The following is a 25,288-nucleotide window of genomic DNA, read 5'->3' as shown; positions in this document are numbered from 1 at the left end:
TTTGTAAGGCAATAAACCAACTTGGCCTCTAATGGAACCATATTTTAGCAACTCTTTTTTTTTTTTTTTTTTTTTTTTTTGGAGTCTTACAAAGAAAGCGATTACAGGTTTGGAGAGATTGATTTTATTTAAAACCGAATATGTATGAAAGCAGGCAGAGTGGCTCTGACATAAATCACTCTGATATATTGAGTGCAAAGGCAAATGCAATTTCTTTCTCCCTTTTAGCTTTCTGTGTTCAGCAGAGGGGTGGTGATTTATCTTTTTATCCATTTCAATCTGACGTAGGTTGCTTTTAACTCTAGGGAAGAAGGGACAGATGGCCTGTGTTGGAGGGACTTGCAGGGGTAGGAAAGAAAAGAAATAAGAAAAAAAGGAAGAAAAAAAACCGAAGACCCCCTCCTCTAATTTCTGGGTCCTCAACTGACACCCCTTAGCCTATCCACTACCCCCTAACCCAGCCTGGCCTACTGTGGAAGAAAATAAGCAACAAATGGAAGAAGCATTGCAAATGGAAATCAATAAGCAGTTTACTAGGTAGTTATCTTAAACTCAGTTTTGTATAATTAACTATAATTATATATAAAACCCTCCTCATTTAGAAATAGATAAAAGATGTATTTTATTATAATCTAATTTTCATTTCTCTTTTTCAGGTTCTCTGGACCTTCTTTCGGATGCTTCCAGTTCCACAAAATAGGCACTAAAAAATTCATTTTCTTATGTCAGAGTCCCAGTTATCATTGTTATGGTTTTGAGAAAGCTATGAACTTTGCTTATATAAATACTGAACATTTTTCTTAAGGTTCTGCCTCTAGTACCATGTTGCTGAAGTACCAGCCCTGGCTGGTATACTCTGCAAACTTCTGACTTTCTAGTTTGACCCCCTAAAAATAAAAACTTGGAATCCTGAATTTAAAAAAAGCTGAGAAGGTTTTACATTGCAGGAATTCTCAGAGCTTACACTATGCTACTGTGCTTCGAAGATCTCTAAGAGAGTTAAAAGACGCCCCGCTTTCCAAGATTTTGACAAGGAACAATGTATCTACGGAGCATCTTGAAGCAGTCACATTCAGTGCAGATACTTGGGGAGATGCTTATCTCCTTTATATGGTTTTACAAGGCCTTTCTCAACCCAACCTCCTCTCACCCATCTGACCACATCTCTCTGTTCCGCATTTTTTATTTATTTATTTATTTATTTTTTTGAGACGGAGTCTCGCTCTGTTGCCCAGGGTGGAGTGCAGTGGCGCGATCTCAGCTCACTGCAAGCTCTGCCTCCTGGGTTCACGCCATTCTCCTGCCTCAGCCTCCCAAGTAGCTGGGACAACAGGCGCCCACCACCACACCCGGCTAATTTTTTTTTTTGTATTTTTAGTAGAGACGGGGTTTCACCATGTTAGCCAGGATGGTCTCGATCTCCTGACCTCGTGATCCGCCTGCCTCGGTCTCCCAAAGTGCTGGGATTACAGGTGTGAGCCACCGCACCCGGCCTCTGTTCTGCATTCTATTCTGAGTTACAACCACACAGAATTCCTTGTCATCTTTGAACATATTCTGCTTTTTTTTCTTTCTTATCATGCTCTCCCACACAGTCTTCTTTGAAGACTATTTCTCCTCCGACTTCTCCTGGCAAATTTTGACGTCTTTCAGAACCTAGTTTTGTAGCCACTTCTTCTGTGAAGGCTTCCTCAGACAGAGTTATGATGGCTTCCTGGGATGCCAATAGCATCCTCAGGGCGAGATTAATACAGGCACAAGGTGTGACAGTCTAGGTGGGTATTAAATATTAGTGCGGTAGTAGAGGGCTACTAGGGTATTAAAAGTTTGACAGAATAGTATACTTAAAAAACCCAAACAGCACACAAAAAACTATCAGTGAGAATGCCTTCTAAGTTTGGAAAATATTTTGGAATATCACTGAAGAAACAGGCATTTTGAGAGAATAATTCATGGCCAGTAAGTTTTCTACAAAGGCGTTTGAGTGTATTTCTTTGCTATGGGACTTCCTTGGGCTGAAGGGACTATGCAGATTTGGGATGAGAGCTGGTTTGCTGAAGGCAGGTGAAGCTTCCAAGTCAACCCTCCCTAGTGACCAGTCATTCCTCCAAATGAAAGTTAAACTCTACCAATATATGATAGTACTGAATTGACTATTATGTGCAACCTTCAAGGAGTCAGTCAGATACTTCAACCCCTCTAAAACCTCCCATTTGCTGAAGCCAACCAGAAACCAACAGGCAAAGAAGTCTAGAGAGATTAGCCTCTTAGGACACAGAACAGTACACAAAAGACGACACAGAATGTGTAAGGGGAGGATGGATAGAAGAATGGACAAGGGTCAACCTCCCTTCCCTTGAGATTCTATCAATTTACATTCCTACAGCAAGATAGAAATATGTTTATTAATCAGTTTTCTCTTCGACACAGTATGTTATCGACCTATTGAATCTTTGCCTATCTGGTACCTGGAAAATGATATTCCACTATACTTTCAGTTGCGTTTTTTTATAGGCAGAATTAATAATGTATTTTTCAATGTTTTAAGAGCCATTTATATTTTTATTATTTGAACAGTAATTTTACATTCTTTGCCTATGTTTTACAGTAGAGGGCTTTTTTCCTTATCGATTTACCATGATTTTTATATATTAAGGAAATTGACCTTTTGTTTCTCCTTTTGATGTTACAGATTTTTCATTTCTCTATTTTTGCATTCTTTATATATTTTTTCCCCTGCGCAGGCTTGTTTTTGTGTTGCTAAATTCATCAAACTTAGAGAATCTGGATTTTATGCCATACTTAGGCCTTATACACATTGTGATTTTATATGTATATATATTTTTCTCTAGTAATTGTATGCTTTTTAGAAATTTATTTTGGTGTAAGGTTCAAGATATCCTACTCCAAATCACTACAACTTTTCTTAACATAGATTACTAAATAATCACTTTTTCTCCACTGATTTATAATTTCATTTTTATCAAATGCAAAATTCTAATACATATTTTGGTTTAATTCTGTACTTTTTACTCCATCCTATGTCCTGCTTATCTGTTTACGAGCCAGTACTACTCTGCCTTAATGATACACTCAATTATGAGGTAGGATGGGTCCTACCTGACCCATAATTTATATTTATTTGTTTTTCTGCCATTATATTGCATAAACTTGCATGCTGTAATTCAAATTAAATGTGAAATTGGTAGGGTATTTTAAGTTCATAAAAAAAAAAAATAACAAAGAGGCCGAGCACAGTGGCTCATGCCTGTAATCTCAGCACTTTGGGAGGCCCAGACAGGCAGATTGCTTGGGCTCAGGAGTTTGAGACCAGCCTGGGCAACATGGCTAAACCCTGTCTCTACAAAAAAATACAAAAATTAGCTGGGCATGGTGGCGTGAACCTACGGTCCCAGCTACTCGAGAGGCTGAGGTAGGCGGATCGCTTAAGACCTGGAGGTGTAGGGTGTAGGTTGCAGTGAGCTAAGATTGTGCCACTGCACTCCAGCCTGGGTAACAGAGTGAGACCCTGTCTCAAATAAAAAAAAAAGAAAAAAAAGAAATTCAGGGCCTCAGAACCCTGGTCCTAGAATAGGATCTTATTCTCCATCCTGAACATTACACAGGATTCCATAAGCTTTTATTTATTACATGTTGTTCAGAAGCCATAGTGCACAATCATTCCTTCTTTACACTCAGACAGAGTTGGGATTCAGATATTAGTTTTGTGCTTAGTAGTTGAATAATCTTGGGTAGGATTTTTTTTTTTTTACTCCCTCTATGTCCTTTGTTATAAGATGGGGATAATAATACATAATTAAGGTGATTATTATGTGTTGTAAAATTAGATTTAAGTTTCACTTTAGCCTTTAGTTGTTTGCAATCTTGGCCAAGTCCCTTAAACTCTATCAATAAAATTTAGATAATAATTTAGAATAATAAATTCCCTCTTATAAATTGGCACTAAAGGATTTATATGTGTAGGTGTTCTTTCTAATAAACCATACAAAATTTAATTTAGGAAAGCATTAATAGACCTGGTTACTGAAAAGGAGAGAACAATGGAAGAAAGGAGGGAGGGAAGAAAGGAGGAAGGGAAAAGAGGCGGGGGGAAGTATTTGTTTTTGCATCCATCAAAGAAAGCAATGTTTTTGGATGCTGCATTGAATGCTTGCTCCCTTACTTCCAGCCACCTAACATTGCAGACCAATTTTGCCCTGATACACAAGAAATATCCTGCTTAATTTGACCCAGTCACATCTTTAATCTTGTTAAACTACATAGCACAACAAATCCAACTCCAAGAAAGGTTAACGGAGGCCTTTGGATTGATTGAAGGTCCTTGTCAATGGTGTTGTCCCTCACCACGTACAATGGATTTTCATTAGAATTTTGTTGTTTGCCTTGGAGTGGTTGAAAACATTCACATGATGGATTAATCAATTTCCAAGCTAATGCATTCACATGTGGTAATGACTTGCTCAAACGCTGCTCTGGCTGTCTGAATAGGCTTTAAGGAATTAAGTAGGACCATGGAGAAACCAAACTTTCAATTAAGAAAGTTGCAAAATACCCTTTCCTAACCTAGAAAATGAACCAAGGCTGATAATTTCCTTTTTATTACCCCATGACATATACAAGGTTAGGAAAAAAAAAACAAACCCATTAAAATATCACATCATTTACATCTTCCGAATTGTAGTGCTACTGGATGCATCATTAAGTATAAATGGATTGCAATAAAACACACATTAATTAGTATAAAATCAGTAAAAAACCAAGATTTCAAATTCATTGTGACTGTCCTCAGAAGGCTCAAAATAAATATATGTATATATTTACATATAACTAGAAATAGCTAAATCATTTTTCTGTGAAAGATGCAAAAGGAGGGCATATAGAGAGAACCAACCAAACTTTCATTTCCATAAACTGCATCTCAGTCACGGGCAATCCTTCTCCTTGTTATTATACTCATAAAATGCCTATAAAAATGATTTCATGCAGTTCCATATTTATTGACTCTCAATGTTCTATGGATCCAATTGTTTGAGATTACAAGGCGAGAGAGGATACTTTCCCCATTTTAACCACTATCCTTTTCTATGTCCTTTGGACTATGAACACTGATTTGCTCTACAGGCATATTTTACAGGCTGAGGTACAATGACAAGTCTGTAATTAAAGTTTGGATAGTGGTAGAGCTCACTGAAGCCCAAACCTCAACTTGTCCTGCTGTCACATCCATTTTATAGTTGTGAGTCCAATTACCAGCTGGGCTAGAGCTGGGGGCAAAGCAGTCTGCAATAGAAAGTGGTGTTTTAGGAATGTTCTTGTTTGCAATTGTCATTGGTCACCAAGGGCTTAGTAGGAAAGGGTCTGCCACTGGTGGAAACAAAAACCCGTAGGCTCAGCATGCTGTGTCTATGGAATTCTACAGGTATTGAAAATGAAAACTTACTTCTAAGTCAAATTCTCCATTTCTGGGTTCTACCCACCTTTCAGGAATAAGAAGGTTTCCTTCTTTTGTTTATGGCAGAAGTATATTTAGCTGAGCAACAATATGGTTTTAAGACAAAGGAGAACTTGAGGAGGAGAGAACTTTACAAGGAGAGTCCTTTCCTATGCTGAAACTTTGTCCACGTCATACTTGTCAGTCCTTAAAGAATGGTGAAGGCTGCCTATCTACCATTTTCTTGCTATTGATGTGCTCATCTCCTCCCTCATTCATTTGATGCTGAGACCAAGACAGAAGGCCAAATACACCAAGATTTGTGTCAAAGGCCTGCCACCATAGACTTACATGTGCTGGCCCCTTGGAAACCATTGTCCCTGAGAACCATGCTGGTTTCTGGAAATGGGAGCAAGCATTTCAATTTGTGAGATGTCAAGATGCAGGAGAGACATATGAGAGATGAAGTATCTTGGTGTGGGACGTGAGGTGGGGAAGACAAGGTTTGAAAGAACTTTGATCAAAAGTGGCAGAGGTAAAACCAAGCCAAAGCAGTTGACTGGACATTTTCTTCCTTGTGTCATCCATGTTGCATAGATTTCCATCCTGCTGCTTTTTAGAATTGGTAACACTTATAAAATAGAAGCCACCTTGACTTTAAGACCTTGAGGAAGGAGAATGTTATTTTTCCCTCCCAAATGTTCTATACAGTGCTTGGCTTAGATCATATAATTGTAGCCAATTAATTGTTAAGAGCATGTATAGTAGAATCAAATAGACCTGGGTTTGAGTCCTGATTTCCTAACTACCTACCTATCTACCTACCTACTGGGACCTTGCTTAAGCTACTTAATTGTCTGGCCACCATAATATTGATCATATAATAATAATAGAAAATAATAATTGAGTGCCAACTATGTGCCAGGTATTAATAAGCTTTCTCCATGTATCATCTTATTAAATCCTCATTAAAACTTTATATTGCAGGTATAATTTTATCTATATAATTTGATTAATAAGTAGTTATGCATACATAATGTATCTCATTTAAGTGACATCTGACACACAGTAGTTATACAACATTTACTGACAAACAGACAAAGTGCCTATGTTGTTATTTGTTTGCTTTGCATTTTTAGTTTGAATAAGAAAGCTAAAGTTGAACCTAAATAATCTAAAGTGTTTCCATGCATTTGCTATCTGTTATTGTGTAACTATCTCAAAACTTAGTGGCTAAAAACAACAATAAACATTTCTTATTTTACTTAACTTTACGGGTCAGGAATCCATGAGCAGCTTGCCTGGGTGTTTCTGGCTCAGGATCACTTGTAAAACTGCAGTCAAAATTTTGGCTGGAACTGTAGTCATTTGAAGGCTTGCCTGGGACTAGCAGGTCCACTTCCAAGATGGCTCACTCACATGTTTGACAAGCTATTTCTGGTTGTTGGCAGGAGGCTTCAGTTCCTTGCCATATGGATCTCACCACAGGGCTGCTTGAGTGTCCTCACAACATGGCAGCTGGCATCTCCCAGACTGAGTGATCCTAGAGGGCAACTCAAAAGCCACTTTGACTTTTCTGACCTGATATGGTTTGGCTGTTTCCTCACCCAAAATCTCATATTGGATTGTAATCCCCATGATCCTCACGTCAGAGGCTGGACCAGGTAGAGGTAACTGGATCATGGGGTGGTTTCCCCCATGCTACTCTTGTGATAGTGAGTGAGTCTCAGGGGAGCTGATGGTTTTATAAGCATCAGGCATTTGCCCTGCTTGTACTCACTCTGTCCTGCCGTCCTGTGAAGAAGGTGCCTGCATCTTCTTTGCCTTCTGCCATGATTGCAAGTTTCCTGAGCCCTCCTCTGCCATGCAGAACTATAAGTCAATTAAACCTCTTTCCTTTATAAATTACCCAGTCTCGGCTATTCATAGCAGTGTGAGAACGAACGAATACGTGACCTATCCTGGAAAGTCACACCGTCATTTTTGTAATATCTCTTTTCTTATAGCCTTACTCAAGAGCATGAAAATCAGGAGGTGAGAATCACTGGAGGACATCTTGGAGATTGGCTACCATAGCCTGGATTAAGAGAAGGAAAAAACCAGAAAGATCATAGGGACAAATCTACACAAAAATTAATTGGTATGGCTCAGGATGGGTGGGGGTGAGTGGTTCAGGACCAAGGATATGAACAATATAATGGAGACAGGTCATACTCTGTGTGGCTATGGTTGTGTGGTTAAAGGTAGGGATATATGACATGAGGTATCTCTCTGTATGGACAAATTTTCTTTGGAAACTTGAATTCTCAGTGTGAAAGACTAGACGAATGTAGACAGCATGGATAGCATTCAGCTTAAATATGCAGATGGGGGAAATGTATAAATGAAGCAAATTCTTCAGAATAAAGTTTAAAAGTTAACAATTTGGTCAGCCAAAGATACAAAAGACAATGTATTTCAGATAATGCCAACAACTAGACGAAGAGATGATGTCACAAAATGGAATCTGCAATTCAAGTAGAAATAAAAGATGTTGTGGTAATGAGAAAGTAATAAAGACCTGGTTTGATCTTCAAGGAGAACTACAAACCACTGCTCAAGGAAATAAAAGAGGATACAAACAAATGGAAGAACATTCCATGCTCATGGGTAGGAAGAATCAATATCATGAAAATGGCCATACTGCCCAAGGTAATTTACAGATTCAATGCCATCCCCATTAAGCTACCAATGCCTTTCTTCACAGAATTGGAAAAAACTACCTTAAAGTTCATATGGCCCCAAAAAAGAGCCCGCATCGCCAAGTCAATCCTGAGCTAAAAGAACAAAGCTGGAGGCATCATGCTACCTGACTTCAAACTATACTACAAGGCTACAGTAACCAAAACAGCATGGTACTGGTACCAAAACAGAGATATAGATCAATGGAACAGAACAGAGCCCTCAGAAATAATGCTGCATATCTACAACTATCTGGTCTTTGACAAACCTGAGAAAAACAAGCAATGGGGAAAGGATTCCCGATTTAATAAATGGTGCTGGGAAAACTGGCTAGCCATATGTAGAAAGCTGAAACTGGATCCCTTCCTTACACCTTATACAAAAATCAATTCAAGATGGATTAAAGACTTAAACGTTTGACCTAAAACCATAAAAACCCTAGAAGAAAACCTAGGCATTACCATTCAGGACATAGGCATGGGCAAGGACTTCATGTCTAAAACACCAAAAGCAATGGCAACAAAAGCCAAAATTGACAAATGGGATCTAATTAAACTAAAGAGCTTCTGCACAGCAAAAGAAACTACCATCAGAGTGAACAGGCAACCTACAAAATGGGAGAAAATTTTCGCAACCTACTCATCTGACAAAGGGCTAATATCCAGAATCTACAATGAATTCAAACAAATTTACAAGAAAAAAACAAACAACCCCATCAAAAAGTGGGCAAAGGACATGAACAGACACTTCTCAAAAGAAGACATTTATGCAGCCAAAAAACACATGAAAAAATGCTCACCATCGCTGGCCATCAAAGAAACGCAAATCAAAACCACAATGAGATACCATCTCACACCAGTTAGAATGGCAATCATTAAAAAGTCAGGAAACAACAGGTGCTGGAGAGGATGTGGAGAAATAGGAACACTTTTACACTGTTGGTGGGACTGTAAACTAGTTCAACCACTATGGAAGTCAGTGTGGTGATTCCTCAGGGATCTAGAACTAGAAATACCATTTGACCCAGCCATCCCATTACTGGGTATATACCCAAAGGACTATAAATCATGCTGCTATAAAGACACATGCACACGTATGTTTATTGCGGCATTATTCACAATAGCAAAGACTTGGAACCAACCCAAATGTCCAACAATGATAGACTGGATTAAGAAAATGTGGCACATATACACCATGGAATACTATGCAGCCATAAAAATGATGAGTTCATGTCCTTTGTAGGGACATGGATGAAATTGGAAATCATCATTCTCAGTAAACTATCGCAAGAACAAAAAACCAAACACCGCATATTCTCACTCCTAGGTGGGAATTGAACAATGAGAACACATGGACACAGGAAGGGAAACATCACACTCTGGGGACTGTTGTGGGTTGGGGGGAGGGGGGAGGGATAGCACTGGGAGATATACCTAATGCTAGATGACGAGTTAGTGGGTGCAGCACACCAGCATGGCACATGTATACATATGTAACTAACCTGCACATTGTGCACATGTACCCTAAAACTTAAAGTATAATAATAATAATAATAAACAAAAAAAAGAAAGTGAAAAAGTAATGCATTCAGTGTTTGTCTGGAAGGCAGGGAAGAGGGGTATGAAATTTTCAGCAAAGCATTGTAAAGGAGCTTTATGGAGTGATGAAAATATTCTATTTTCTGAATGCTATGATGTTTATATGGGTGGATCCATTCATAAAAGCTCATCAAATGGTTAAAAAAAAAAAAAAGACCTGGTTTGAAAATTCAAAATTGTTATCAGCAATATGACTGGGGAAAAAATGGTGACCTATAGATCATAAAGTCTGGATGAAATGTATCCCAAGGAATTAGCAAACCTACATGCTTCCTGAGCAGAAAAGAGTGAATAAGAGAGAAAAAAAATGAGAAAGGTTTTGAGCAAGAAATGTAGCTCCTGCAAAGGTTATATGGTTTGATTATTTTCTAGCTCTAGTGGTTGACCTATACTTACAGCCAAATAAGTCTGTTTAGAGATGAGTTTTGCAGTGGCTCATCAAATTATATCTTGTAGTCCAAAGTCATGTGTGGGTTTTGCCTCCTACTGACACCTTTTCCCCATCAGACTGAAGGACAAATTTTGTTCGTATTTCAGCATAATTTATTCTTCATTAGTCTAAGCTATGACTTGTTCATGATTAGATTCAATTTCAGTGTTTACAGGTTCATTTTCATAATATTTCCTGAGGGTTTATTATTTCCATTTGTAAAAATGCATTAAGTCCTCTAAGTCAGAGTAAGCTGATGCAATTTTCCAGGGAGACTTGCTCTGCCTCACACTAGGCCAGCAGCTTTGCAACAGCAGGTAGATGATGCTTTTATAGGACTTGTGAGGAGCCCTCCACCTTCTTAAGGGACTCCATTGCTTGTCTGAGTCTTGTATGGTATTGGATGTAGGACAGGGTTGGGAAGCGAAAGTGGGCTTTGGAAAAACGGTGCATCCTAGGTGTGGTTTTTGTGCATCGTGGATACCTGTGTTTTGGTCTTCTCAATGACCTCTTTGCCAGGGCACTGCCCCTCCTTAAGACCATCCATGTGGTTACCATCGGAACCGTCAGGTAAGTACCACATGAAACTCTCTCTCATGATGGCTGTGGGTGAGACCATATCTTATTCATGTTTCTGTCCTTGAATATGTATTAGTTCCAAAGATCTAGGTTTGGAAAAATGGTATAACTAGGATAAATTAGTCATTCATTTGTTCATTTAACATAAATTTTCTATGAGCATATTATGTGTTGGCTTCCCCGGTATGCTTTAAGGGTACAGCAGTTTTATTGTCCAGGTCTTGAGAGTCAGCCCACTGTTGCCTCCATGTGCATCTTCAAAATCAACAAGGAGCAACAGGATTAATTTCTGTCATTCATATGTCTATATTAATGTTTTAGAAGTGTCCTTGAAAGCATCTTTGGAGAAGCCGTGTGGATTTCCTCTGATAATGGACATGAAGGTATTCATTTTATTGATGGCTGAACAGGCCCAGAAAATTGCCTATAAACTTGCATCAGAACCAACACAAAGAATCTTTAAGATTCTTTCTTAAGTTCTTGACTGTACTATTATCTTTTATTAATTAGTATTCTTTTGGTGTAAATTTTTTTAAAAAACGGATTGAAATTGACTTGACTACAAAAGGGAATGTACTGCTGTATACAACTCAAGTACCTAGGAATCCATCCGACTTCAAATATGCTTGCTCCAATGCTTCAGCAATACCACCAGGTTGTGGTTTATCTTCTCTCTGTATCTTCGCTCTGCTTCCTCTATGCTGACTCCATTTTCCAATAGGTCTCAGAGTCACCAATTGGCTCAATATGGCATCTAGGCTGCATCTTTTCTAAGCTTAAATCAAGCATAAAAATGGCCACCTGAAATACACTCAGTTGAAGTTATTCAGTCCACTCTGATCTCACTGACTGAAGTCAAGGGTCCACTGTCGAGCCAATTACTGTGACCTGCTGACTGGTGTAGGCATGTCCCTGCTCCTTCTGTGGGACTGGAGCAGACCTGACTCAAACAACGTGGAATGAGAATTGGGGAGCAGGCATCTCCAAATAACAAATGGGCCCATTGCCTCACAATGAGAATGGTTGTCGGGAAAGGAAAGAATATATGTTTACTATAGATACACTGACTTTTACCCAGGTTCAATATTTTAAAAAATTACCTTATAAAGGCAAAAATGATAAAGAACTAGCAGTTATATTCTGTTAATGTGATGTCAGAACCCACTTGGCTTATTGAGCTTTTTAACTGAGATCCATTTTGGATAGAGTGACTCATATAATGTGAGGTGGAGAACAACCTAAAACATGTCATATAAGAACAGTTGGAAGAAGTGGGAATGTTCAATCTGAGGGAGATTTTTAATACTTTGTTCCAGAGTTGGAGAGAGATAGCATTACATCATTTATTTGAAAGATCTTCAAGCCAAAGTAAAGACAGACTTGCTCTATGGGATTCAGGAGGCCGAGATTTCTAGTAATAAATAGCTGCCCAGTGAGGGAACACGAAGACTTAGTTAGAAATGTGTTTCCTATCACTGTAGCTGTCCAAGTATAGTTTTATCAGACAATCTGTCAAGGATGGTATAGACACATGCCAATCACTGGGTGAGTGACTATGCGAGGTAAACTTTTAATGCCCCTTTGATGCCTGAGATCCAATAGTTAACTGTGAGTTTAACATGAAGGACTCACATTGGTAAGAGGCAATTCTTTATACATTACCTAGCAGAAAGAAAATAAGCAGGTTGCTTAAGAAGGAACATGGGAGATGGAGCAGGTTGAGAAGAAAGCTTGCAGTTAGAATTTTGGCCTTGACATAACAAAGGGAAATAAATGAGACAAAATGGTAAACATAAGAAAGAAAAACTGAGTCGACTCTGTATTTTTGCAGTGACCTTTCAACATGCTGTTAACTGGCTTTCTTGTCCCACCCTGGATAATCATGAGAGTATAAAAACCTAGAGATTTATTTCAATGGCCCTTCTGCTTTTGTCTTGGAGCAATGCTAAAAAATGGCTATGTTTAAAATTGTCTTAAGAGGGCATTCTTCCATTTTCTTCCTTCATGCTCTTCAGGGCATTACAACTAAGGTTGAGGACTACCTTGCTGATATTTTAGTTCATTTTCCCTTAGGATTTCTCTCCCATATGAAGTAAACCTAAAACCTGGGCTTTTATTCTGATCTAGAGCCGAGGGATCACTGTTCTTTAAAGGTAGATCATCTTCCTTTGAATTTTGACAGCTGCTCCTCTCCACAATGCACCATCTTTTAAATTGCTAACTTCAACCATGCCCAAACTATCAGGGTGCACCACCATTTCACCAGCTGTCCTGGACCCTTCTGCCAACTTCTGGATTGTGTTTCCACATGGCCCTCTTGGATGTATGGTTGCTGGGCTATGCATTCCTCATCTGTAAAGCAGGTATAACACTACATATCCCCCAAGGAGAGGGAGGGGGTAACACTTTAAAATTATTTGTAAATTGTGAAATGGGTCACAGTTTTAAAAGAGAACTTCTAGTATTAGGAAGCCATTATCAAATGGAATGATTAAGGTCTGGCTTATTTCACCTAAAACCAAGCAGTTTCTGGGTTAATGTGTCACGGCCTATCCTGTGGATGAGCCCCTCCCAGCACCAGACTGTGTCCGTGACTGATGTCAGGAACTAGAAACAGCTGGGCATTGTGCACTTCACAGGTGGCTCCCTAGTAAGACCATTGTGCTTTGGAGAATGTTTCAGTTGCCATTCGCCATATAAATCTCTGCTTTCAAAAGTCTAGGACTTAACTTACCTCCTGAGCCTGGGATGCTTCCTTTCCACAAGTTTCTTCTAAAATCTTATTCCCATGCCTTTCAGAAACCTCTTTAGATCCTCCCTTCCCCCACCTACTTGTACAGAAACCTTCAGGTCTTCTGACATCAAAGGCAAGTTTCTTGGTCATTTTATAATACTCAGCATTATTTGTCTCTAAGTTAAGATACTTGCCTCTGATTTAAGATCTTGGAAGCCTTCCTTGCTAGATATTTAACATGTCAAGGGCAAGGACAGCTTTTCTTCGCCTCTGTATTTTCAGCACCTGACATGATTTATGACTCTGAAAACATATGGAGAAAGACAGAAAGAAACAGAGAGAAAGAGAAAAGAAAGAGAGGGAGAGAAAGAAAAGAAAAGAAAGGAAAAAAGAAGTTAGTTTTAAGGAAGGACATGGGAGGAAAGCCTGGAGATGGAATTTTGGTCTTGACGAAGTGGAATAGATGGGTCAAAATGGAGAACATAAGAAAGGAAAAATGAGAAAGAAAAGCAAGCAAGCAAGCAGATTTATATGAGCACCTCTTTCTTGGCCATCCTAAACAGTCCTGCAATTAAGATAATTGTTTATGCCAGGTCATGAAGCAGCCTTGCATTAAACATGTCCAGCCACACATATGACAGCTTACACCCGGAACACATTTTGGAAACAACAGTGATGGAACCCACAGTCATCTCCTTCTACCTGGAGCTTCACCCCAATCCCATCCCATTGTTAAAATGTTCTGTTTCACTCTGAGTTGAGGATCCGCTATCTGGTGGTCTGCATCACGTCCTTACATCTAGTAAAGCAATTATATTGCACTATGACTTTTTTCCCCACTTTGTGTTCCCTACTGAATCATGATCTCTGCTCAAGGAGGGGGTTACACTGCGTACATTTCTTTTCAGTGACATCAGCTGGTAACCTTGGTAAGATGTTAAGTGAACAGACAGAGACAGCAAAAGAGTAGAGGTGGATGTTCCAAGAAATATATAATAGAAGCAGAGCAGAAAGAAAGAGGCAGAAAGACTTCCCTGGGGTAGGATCTGACTATGTCTTCTCCTTACTGATTGCCACCTTCGTGTGAGTGTGTGGGTACGTGCAGGTACGTGTGCATGTATGTGTATGTGTATGCGTAGATGTGATATTTATTGAATGCCTACCAGGTACAATGTTAGGCTTTTTGCATCAAAATTTCTAATCTTCACAATCTTATATGATTTATCTTCCACATTTCATGGGGAACATAAAAGTCCATCAGAAGAGACGGACTTTTATTTGGCCAAGGTCACAAGGCAAAGTTAAGCCAGGATTTAAACCCAAGCTTGTTGGACTCAAAATCCATGTTCTTTTTATGGAGTAACCTTGACTTTGTATCCTGCATGCAACTTCGTCTTGAAATATCTTTTTTTCCTCCTGGTTTCATTTGCAACAGGGTACACTTTCACTTCCTTTCCTCCACAATCCTATTTCATCAAACTTAGAGTTATCCCGAAAATATCACCGTCTTGGCCCAGACAGCTTCATTACATGTGCTGCTACTGAAGACATCATGTTAGAAGATTATACATTCTGGCAAGAAAATGCCCAATATATCATTTTCAGATCAAATTCACTGAAAGCTTTGCACATTAACAGATCAAAGGAAAACCCACAGAATGTCAGTGAGCTGTCAGTCCTGTAATGTGAAACCTTCTCTCACCTCTGCTGATGCCCAAATATATTTGTAAGCAAACAATTACTTCATAAAATATTCTCTTCAGATTCTACACTGCCCAATTTGTCTAAGAAACCTGGAATCTGTGTCAGAAGAGAAACCAAAGCAAGATTGTTCTGGTTTATCTCAATTAAGAGTTTGCCAACCTGTGGTTATGGAAATATCTCCTGTTTCATAGGAACCCCATTCCCAGGAGGAGAGTACAAAAATCAATAAGGAGTTTCAATGCACTTTTATTTCAACAAAGTTTTCCCTTCACATCATCAAAATTCATGGTGCAGCCTCTTAAAATTAAACTAGTTACTAAAGTCTTACCATCAGGTAAATAGCAAAATTAAAAATAATATTTTTAAAAACACACACACCTGGAGCTCCTCAATGGTAGGAGCCATGCCTTATCTATGTCAAATTTCTGGTTCAAATTTACATTCATCTGTAGCACCTGATACAGAGTACTCATTAATTTTGCTTTCAATTGAATTTAAAATCAATTGCCAAAGTTCCTTCCTCCTCTCTTTTCCTTCCATTTAGTTTCTATATTTATTTTATTTAAGGTATGTACCGAATTTACAAAGTCCTATATCTCTCCATGGCTTGTTACAGGAAAATAAAAAGGCGCTGCAAACCTCTCCTATCCCTTTCACCCATTCTGCAGAAGCAACACGCTTTGAACTCGTGTACCTGATTGGTGTTTCTAAATGCCTGTGTAGATTGTTACCAATTCATTAGTCCCTCTGAAGTAGTATCAATTCACTTTTCACAAAAGAACATGAGGAATTTGCTGGATTGCACACCCCCACCTTTCACTCTGCTCACCCTGGAAAATGACTTTCCACCTTAAAAATTATCTTAGGAGGGCATTCTTGCATTTTCTTCCTCAGTGCACTTCATTGCCCCACAACTGATGTTTAGGACAACCTTGCTGTCAGTCTAGTACATTTTCCCTTAGGATTTCCTCTCTTTCATATAAGTAAACCAAAAACCTGGGCTTTGGTTCTGATACAGAGCCCAGGAGTCACTGTTCTTTAAAGGTAGATATCTTCATTTGAATTCTGACAGCAGCTACTATGTAGAGCTGTTAAAATGTATACTTCCGGCCGGGTGCGGTGGCTCACGCCTGTAATCCCAGCACTTTGCGGGGCCGAGGCGGGCGGATCACGAGGTCAAGAGATCAAGACTATCCTGGCCAACATGGTGAAACCCTGTCTCTATTAAAAATATAAAAAAAATTAGCTGGGCATGGTGGCAGGCACCTGTAGTCCCAGCTACTTGGGAGGCTGAGGCAGGAGAATCGCTTGAACCCAGGAGGAAGAGGTTGCAGTGAGCTGAGATCACGCCATTGCACTCCAGCCCGGGTGACAGAGTGAGACACTTTCTCAAAAAAAAAAAAAAAAAAAAAAAAAAAGTATACTTCCCATTTCCCCATCCCCAACTCTGTTTTTATCATCATGGCTACTCAGGCAACATTAACAGCTGATGTCATGTACACTATGTCATATGGATCATGTCACATATATCACAATCATTTTACTTTGCTACCTTACATTTCATTTTTCTCTAAGTTATTGTTGGGTTTGGTTTGCCTGATGACTTACTTATAAAATATATTTCTATTTCTTCAGTGAGAACACATGGACACAGGAAGGGGAACATCACACACCGGGGCCTGTTAGGGGGTGGGAGGCAAGGGGAGGGACAGCATTAGGACAAATACCTAATGCATGCAGGGCTTAAAACCTAGATGACAGCTGGGCGTGGTGGCTCACGCCTGTAATCCCAGCACTTTGAGAGGGCGAGGCGGGCAGATCACGAGGTCAGGAGATCGAGACCATCCTGGCTAACACGGTGAAACCCGTCTCTACTAAATTACTCGGGCGTGGTGGTGGGCGCCTGTAGTCCCGGCTACTCGGGAGGCTGAGGCAGGAGAATGGCGTGAACCCAGGAGGCGGAGCTTGCAGTGAGCCGAGATTATGCCACTGCACTCCAGCCTGGGCGACAGAGCAAGACTGTCCAAGTGTGTGTACACTTGGAGCTCCTCAATGGTAGGAGCCATGCCTTATCTATGTCAAATTTCTGGTTCAAATTTATGTTCATCTGTAGCACCTAATACAGAGTAAGTACTCATTAATTTTGCTTTCAATTGAATTTAAAAATCAACTGTCAAAGTTAAGTCAGAAAACATAAGTAATTAAAATCATAACAATGAAAAACCCTTCATCAGTATTCACTATATTCCATAAAATTCACATATTTTATTTATAACTTTTAAATTATTACCATTCTTCTGCTAACGAAACTGAATTGCAGGTGAGGGAGGCCAGAAAAAAAGTAGTAACTGCAACAACAATATCAACCATGGCAACGATAAATATTTGTGTAGTACGTTAAGTTTACAGATTTTTACAATGTATAACTTGACATTTTAACCAAATATAGACAATGTAATAAATGCTTTAAGGTATGAGAATTAAGATTAGACTGACTTAGATTAAATTTCAAACTTTGGAATTTATTATCTGAGTTATCCTAGGCAAGTGAATATAGTCAGAGATTCAGTCTTTTCATCTCTGATATGTTATCTGTCATGTAAAGTTGAGAAATATAGTGTATGTAAAATACCACACACATGAAAGCAACTCAACAGAAGCCATTATGAAATGTGTTATATTAGTATTCTTGCTAGTATCCTTATTTATGAATATATTAAAATATATAATGCATTGTCTAACACATTATTAATGTTCAGTATAAGTTTGCTCTTCACTGTCTTCACTTACTGGACTTTCTACCCTTGAGAGAATGAACGGTGATGGAGTGAGGCATGCTTATACAGACCTCCTGGCAACTTTCACTTTGTGTCATTTCATTGTATGTTATTTCATTTCGCTTCACATCATTTTTATTTCATTTAACTTTACTTGACAAATTGTCATTAAAAATATTTTCTGCACACAGAAATTAGCTAATATATGTAAACATTTATGTTTATATTAGCTATAAGCATACACTTCATAATTTTCTATATTTGCAGAAGAGTAAGCATTTTCTTGAAGCTTAGTGGACCAAAAACCTTCTTGGGCTTAATGTGACAGAGGCAATTGAACTGAGTCTTACAGAAAGAATATAGTTTGGACACAAAGATAGGGGTCATATCAGTGACTGGCATTTCAGGTTGCAGTGAAGCATTAGGAAAGTCAAGGGGGTGGGCAAGCATTAAAACATCATTGCCCAAAGCAGCCACCTTGTCACAAAATCCCATAAGAAGGCTCAGAACTATTTCTGCCATTTACAAAGAGAAATGTTTTTCAGAGCATATGGTTTGGACTCTGTTCAGCTAGTACTCAATTATCCCTGCAGCAAAAGGATTAGTTCCAAACGCTGGACAAAATATGGTCAAAATATGGTCACTGAATTTTCCTTTTAGTGGTGGAACAATGGGTTTTGGCAGCACATAATTCAGTTATTACTTTATTGAATGATTAATCAAGCAAAGGCATATTAAGCTCCAATTGTGTGCCAAGAAGTATACTCAGCAATGGAGATACACTGGTAAGTAAGTCCAACCCAGTGCCTGACCTCAAGAAATTCAATATGGTAAAGACAAATAGATAGATCATCACAATACAGTGTAGCAAATGATCAATTATCTATTAAGAACAATAATACCTCTCACAATAATGACAAAACTATTAAACACTGAAGAATAAACTTAAAGTGGAGCTAGAGGGAAGGGGACAGAGTAGGAAGCACCAGGAATCTTTCCCTATAACTAGACAACAAGTGCACTAGCAGATTCTGTATAACTATTTTGGAACTCTGGAGTCTATTGAAAGCTTCCAACGTCCTTGGAAAGGCTTGGACAATAAATTATAGTTTACTTTGGTCAATTTCACCTCTTAGCATGGTAGCAGCCACCCATCCTCCACCCCCAGACTGCCTTATGACAGGCAGCTGTGCCTGTGGTCTAGGAGTAGCTTGCATGCAACTTGCAATAGCCAGGATGGGGAAAAAAAGGAATCTGTTTTCTAAATATCATGGATTAGTGCTCTGATCAATGATTACTGCTTCTGATCTCAGAGATGCAGTTGTAGAGGTGGGCAGTCATTTTTGCAAGCTCCTCTCCCTCTGGTGGAAGGTACTTCCAGGGGAGTTAACGGGTCAGTGACGAGTATCTTTTTTGTTCCCATTTATCTTTCTTTTCCACCTTTGGGAGCCAAACACTTAAGCCAAAACCACTAAAACACAAAAACACAAAAGCCACTTATTTACATTTTGAATGTAAATAAGCCAAACACTTATTTACATTCAAAAATAACCACAAATACAATGGAATTTACTGTGCATGCCAAGAAAGAGGCACAGGCTCTGAAAAGAAGAAGACTTTATACATTAGGCTGTCTCTGGCACAGAGCCATCTTACAACAATCAAAACAACAACAAAAATAGAAAACTCTAGAGAAGGAAAAGAACTGGATCTCCACAGTTACATTTGCCATATATATATATATATATATATATATATATATATATATATATATATATATACACACACACACACCATATATATGTATATACCATATATATATACACCATATATATACCACATATACACACCATATATATACCATATATATATAGTTTTCAACAAAAAAATCACAGATCATACAGAGAAATGGGAAAGCATGGCCCATTCAGAGGAAAATTAATAAATTAACAGAAATTGTCCCTGAGAACGACCAGATGATAGAACTACCAGGCAAAGACTTTAAAACAACTGTCATAAAATTGCTTGAAAAATTAAAAGAAGACATGGACAAAATCAAGTAAACAATGTATTGACAAATTGTCAATATCAATAAAGAGATAGATAACACACAAAAAATAACCAAAAAGGAATTCTGAAGCAAGAAATATAATAACTAAAATAAGGGATTTAAAAGTTGATTTGAGCAGTCAGAAGAAGGAGTCAGTGAACTTGAAGATAGGACAATAGAAATTATTGAGTCTGAGAAAGAAAAAAATGTTTTAAATGAACGGAGACTAAGGGACCTGTGGGACATCATCAAGCAGAATGACATATGCATTGTGGGATTTTAAGAAGAGAGAGAGAAAGGGCCAGAGAGATTATTTGAAGAAATAATGACTGAAAACATTTCAAATTTGATAAAATACATGAATGTAAACATCCAAGAAATGAATTCCAAGAAAAACTCAAAGAGGCGTACATTAACACACATTAAAATCAGAATGTTGAAAGCCAAAGGCAAAGAGATTCTTCAAAGCAGCAAGAAAGAAGTGACTCATCACATACAATGGATCCCAATAAGATTATGAGCAGATTTCTCATCAGAAACCATGGAGGTCAGAAAGAAATGGGTTGATATATTCGAAATACTGAAGGAAAAAACAAAAAAGACTATCAGTCAAGAATTCAATATCTGGCAAAACTCTCCTTCAGAAGTGGGCATGATTATTGTGTAATCTCTTTTTTTTTCCATTATGAGGTCCAGCATATCCCCTAGTTGAATTATGCTGAGAATTAACCATTATTAATAACCTGGAAGCCAGCAGGGAGGAGAAGGCAACTCCTGATAAGGGTTCCTACTGCCTAGTTAGAGAGAAATCTAATCTCTGCAACAGTCTCCTTTAACGGTGATTTGCTAGCTCTTAATAGGGTGGGTGGATTGTTTTTGCAACCTCTACTCGTTTGAGGTCAGGGATGTCTGTAAAGCCAAAATTATCAGGGACACCTATTCTCAGGGACACCTACCCAGATGTTCCCATCCCACTTTTAGGGTCCCAGATTTTTCTCACCAGGGCCCTGACTTCAGCGTAACAGAGCTTTCTCTTTTTACCACTTGAGAGCCTCTGGACCTCTGTGACTCTAACAGGTTTTGAGTCTACTTCTCAGTTGTGAGTCCTCTTCAATTTCAGGATATATAAGTGTCTCTTTGTGAGCTACCAAAGGGCACTTTGACTCTGATACTTAACCTTTAACTCTTCATTAGCTATTGTTAGTATCTCGTTAATTCTCTACAGGACTTCAGTATAACATAATAATTGCTTACAAATCCACTGTTTTTGAAGGCCTTGTCTCTTTCATATCTTCCAAGTGTTTGAATTATCACACAAGCAAAAGTACTATCCTCCATCATGACATTTTTTTCAGGTAACCACTGATGAAATCTTCAACAATTTGGACTCCACTTTATGCCAGGGACAATCTGTACTCCACATTTCATATAGGATATTATCTTCCTTGCTAGTCAAGTGGTGAATGATCCAGTTCTCATGTCCGATTCTACCCCTGTTTTCTCAGACTACTTCCAGTGACATTTCTGTCAGTTCTAATACTCTGAGAAGCATAAACCAATATGGAATTAGATATTCAAGAAATATATTGGGGGAAAACCTATAATGAATAAAGGACAAGGGAAAACAGTAATAAAGAGATTATTATGATGCAGATCTGATATCTGTCAATGAGATAGAGAAGAGGAAAGTTTGAATCTCAGAGCACAGTGCATTTGTAACTCTAAGACTAATGGGGATTTCTCAAGCAGAGGCTGCTTCATATTGAGTAGGAATATCCCGGTCCTAGTCCTCCACCATGTTTAGTCATTGGCTGGGGGCATCCTGGGGAATGCATGGCCTCAGAGTTCAGGGGGCAGCAGTTAGGGCTGTCAGAAACTCTGACTTTACAGCAAATTCTTTTGGTGGAGATCTGAGTAGAACATGTCCATGTTCATTACACTGATTTAAAAATGAATCTGGACAATAAAAACGGGAGCAACTGAGAAGTATTTGAAAAAGAAGAACAGTGAAACTGACTAGGTGTACTAGTTGAAAAACTTACTCTAGCACTGTAAATATTTCAACAATGAGCTAACATGTAGGTTCGTCTCTTAATATCTAGATTCACCACCTTCTCATTTGTTCTCCTTGACTATGGAGGCTGGAGAGCTAAATATGTCAGTTCCCCAATGTCTCCTGCAAGTGGAAGGAAGAGGCTACCTAACTCATTGTGGACCAATGAGGTGTAAGCAGATATCTGTTGGGGATATTGTGAGTTTTCTGGGAGCCACTATTGCCAAGGATGGCAACCCTAGCTCATTTGTGGCTTAGGCTGACCACCCTTGAATTTTGTGTTATGTGATATTAATAAATCCTTACTTGATCAAGATATTTCAATTGATTATGTCATGTAAATTAAATTCTCTTTGGATGAAACATCTAGTATTTTTTGTTAAAATAATAGGTCATTTTAACAGCATTGAGAGCTAAAAGCAGACCCATGACTATGGAAACTTAATATTTCAAAGTTGGTATATCAAATTAGTGAAGAGTAGATGGATAATTATTTGTGTTGGGACAACTATATACTGGACAAAAAAATTTCTTTACACTATACACAATAATACAGTTCATATTGAATTGCAGTTGATATTAAAACATAAGATAAATTTGGAGTACGTGAGATTTTCTAAATAACTCAAAGTATAAAGTCATAAAGGAAAATAAAGATCTGTCTATTACATTATTATTGAAGATTTCTGGATCACAAAAAGCCCCATAAACAAAGTTAAAACTCAAATGACAGGCAAATGCATGTGATGTATCTTGACAGCCATAGACATAGAAATAGAGAGATTATTAAAATCCATAATATGTAAGGTACTCTTCTATACCAATAAGGCAAAACAATATCTCAATTAAAGGTATATGGACAAGCAATTTCTGGAAGAGAAACTACAAATGAGATTAATAAATGAAAGGACAATCTCACTGGTAATTAGAGACATACAAATTTTAAAAATTGCTATCATTTTTGACCCATCATATTGATGAAATTTTTAAAAGGATGGATAAAATTAAAAGTGTGTGTGACAATGTAGAGATACAGGCATTTTTACGCACTTTGTTGGAAGTGTAAATTTGTAAGCCTCTTTGGAAGGCAATCTGCCATGTTAATTACAAGTGAAAGTGCACATGACCTCTGCTTGGTAAGACTGATGCTACTGCCACTGTCCGTCATAGAGGAGCATGGGTTGCAAAAGATCTGAGGTACAAGGGATCTTTGCCAAATCAAGAATAGGTGAACTGTGGCTTCAAAGTTATTTACCGTAAGGAAGAAATTATAGGAAAGAGGAATAAGATGAACCTTTTTCAGGTATGTAATTCTGAAACCATATGATTAGCTTTGGGAGATACTGAGGCTTTGGGTGGCCAGAACAGACAGTGAGTGTGGACAAAAAATGAGAGATAAAACTAGAGAGTTAGGAAAAAACTAAGTCATGAAGGGCTTGAGTGTCTTGGAGATACAGGGCTTGGGTTCAAAATGCCATGAGGAACCAGTGAAGAAAGTGACCTTACTTGATCATTAAGAGGCTCCCTTTAGTTGCAGTTTAATTGGTACAATAGAGAGAGGAAAGTCTAGGAGGAAAACAATGAGAACCAGAACACAGAGAATAGTCAGAAGATGGGAAGGTGGGCCCAGAAATGAGAAATTCTGTGGAAATCAGATTAACTGACTCACCCAGTACCATGAAAAAACATTCATAGCAGAGTTGTGAGGAGTACTTACATCTAAAATAGAAAAGAATGGTAGGTAAGAAAAAGCAAGTGCATGTTTGGGAAACTGTCTAGGAAATGTCAAATGCTTTATTTTATGTGACCTCAAAATGAGAAGCTCTCTTTCCCCACGCATGGTGTAATTGGACCTGATCAAAATTATTCAATGGTTTGAATTTGCTGCAGCTAGGAAATGGGGAGAGAGAAATGGGCTTAAAGTCAGTTAAACTTGCAATCTAAGTATAGTTCTGCAGCTTTCTAGTTATGAGATGTTGGGCAAGTCTCTTGACTCATTTAAATTTCAGTTTCCTCAAATATAAAATGAAAGAGACAGTATTTTGTTTCATCTTGGTTGTTCTGAGGTTTAAACACAATAATATATATGAAGGAGGCTTATAAAATACAAATGCAATTTTAAATGTGGCTAAAAGTAGTTAAGAGATAGTGTATCTGGATTCTTAAGGTTTGCAGGTGCATTCTTGTAAGCTGTTATGAATAAAAATGTCTAAAATCTACACAAATAAGTGCTGCTTGTCTAAGACCCATATTAGATTTTACCTAATTATGTAGTATTTCTGTCTCCAACTATGACTGCAAATTTTTTGTGGGTCAAGCCTCTCCTTTGTTCCTTCTTTTGTATCACTGCACAGAGCCTAACTTAGCATGGGGGTGGTACAAATTCATATTGATCAAATGCAATTAGACATTGTACTAGATAATTTGGAATATGTTAATATGTAGACTGGTGATTGTTAGTTTAGTTTTAACCTGAGAAAACTGATGCTCAGAAAGATGCAGTGATTTGCTCAAGACACACAGTTATTAAATGATGAAATGGGATATAACCTCTGGTATTTCTGACTGCAAAACTCATCTTCTGTGAAGAACTAAATTAAGTTGTATTTAATTCCTGAGCTGCGGTTCCTTCGTAAATGAGCTTAGGTTTACAATCTGAATTTGGTCTTACAACTCTAGGCAGTGCTCCGGTCTGCCACGTTATACACTGGGCACACTCTGTGAAAGTGTAAGAGGTATTCTGGGTGACCTATCCAATTAGAAGAAGAACCAATGTCCTATATATTAACCTCAGAGGAAGAAAAGACTTCTTCTTAGTATTTTCACAGTAGGATGTTGTACTTAATAACCCTGAATCTGAAAAATCAAGAACATAAAAAAAGTCCTAATTACAACTTTTCAGGCATCTGGGGGAGGTCCAAGAATTAGCTATTTTTTCTTCAGTAAAATGAGAGAATGTTAGACCTGGTAGGTAATCAGAGATTGTCTAGTACATCTGGCTTTAATATCAGATGAGAAAACTGAGTCTCAGTGAAGTCAAATAACATCTCCCAGATTATACAGGAAGTTAGTGGCGGAGCTGGAAATAGATTCCATTTACCTTTCAGGAAAAAAAAACAAAAATTCTTTCCACCATGGTTTTTGGCAGTCTGAGATAAAACATTAAAGCCAGACAACTCTTACAAAAGTA

General features: G+C 38.2%; 1 long non-coding RNA gene across 1 annotated transcript; it reads left to right on the top strand.

Annotated features, from left to right (window-relative positions):
* The first annotated feature begins 278 nt into the window (after positions 1-278).
* LOC124902070 (uncharacterized) lies at positions 279-924 on the top strand. The gene is made up of 2 exons (XR_007061186.1): positions 279-537; positions 657-924. It is a non-coding gene; the product is annotated as an uncharacterized LOC124902070 (long non-coding RNA).
* Positions 925-25,288: the final 24,364 nt, after the last annotated feature.

This window comes from Homo sapiens, chromosome 8, assembly GCF_000001405.40.
Source record: "Homo sapiens chromosome 8, GRCh38.p14 Primary Assembly".
Lineage (NCBI taxonomy): Eukaryota > Metazoa > Chordata > Mammalia > Primates > Hominidae > Homo > Homo sapiens.
The sequence above is the reverse complement of the archived record's forward strand: the minus strand, read 5'-3'. Positions and strand labels throughout refer to the sequence as shown.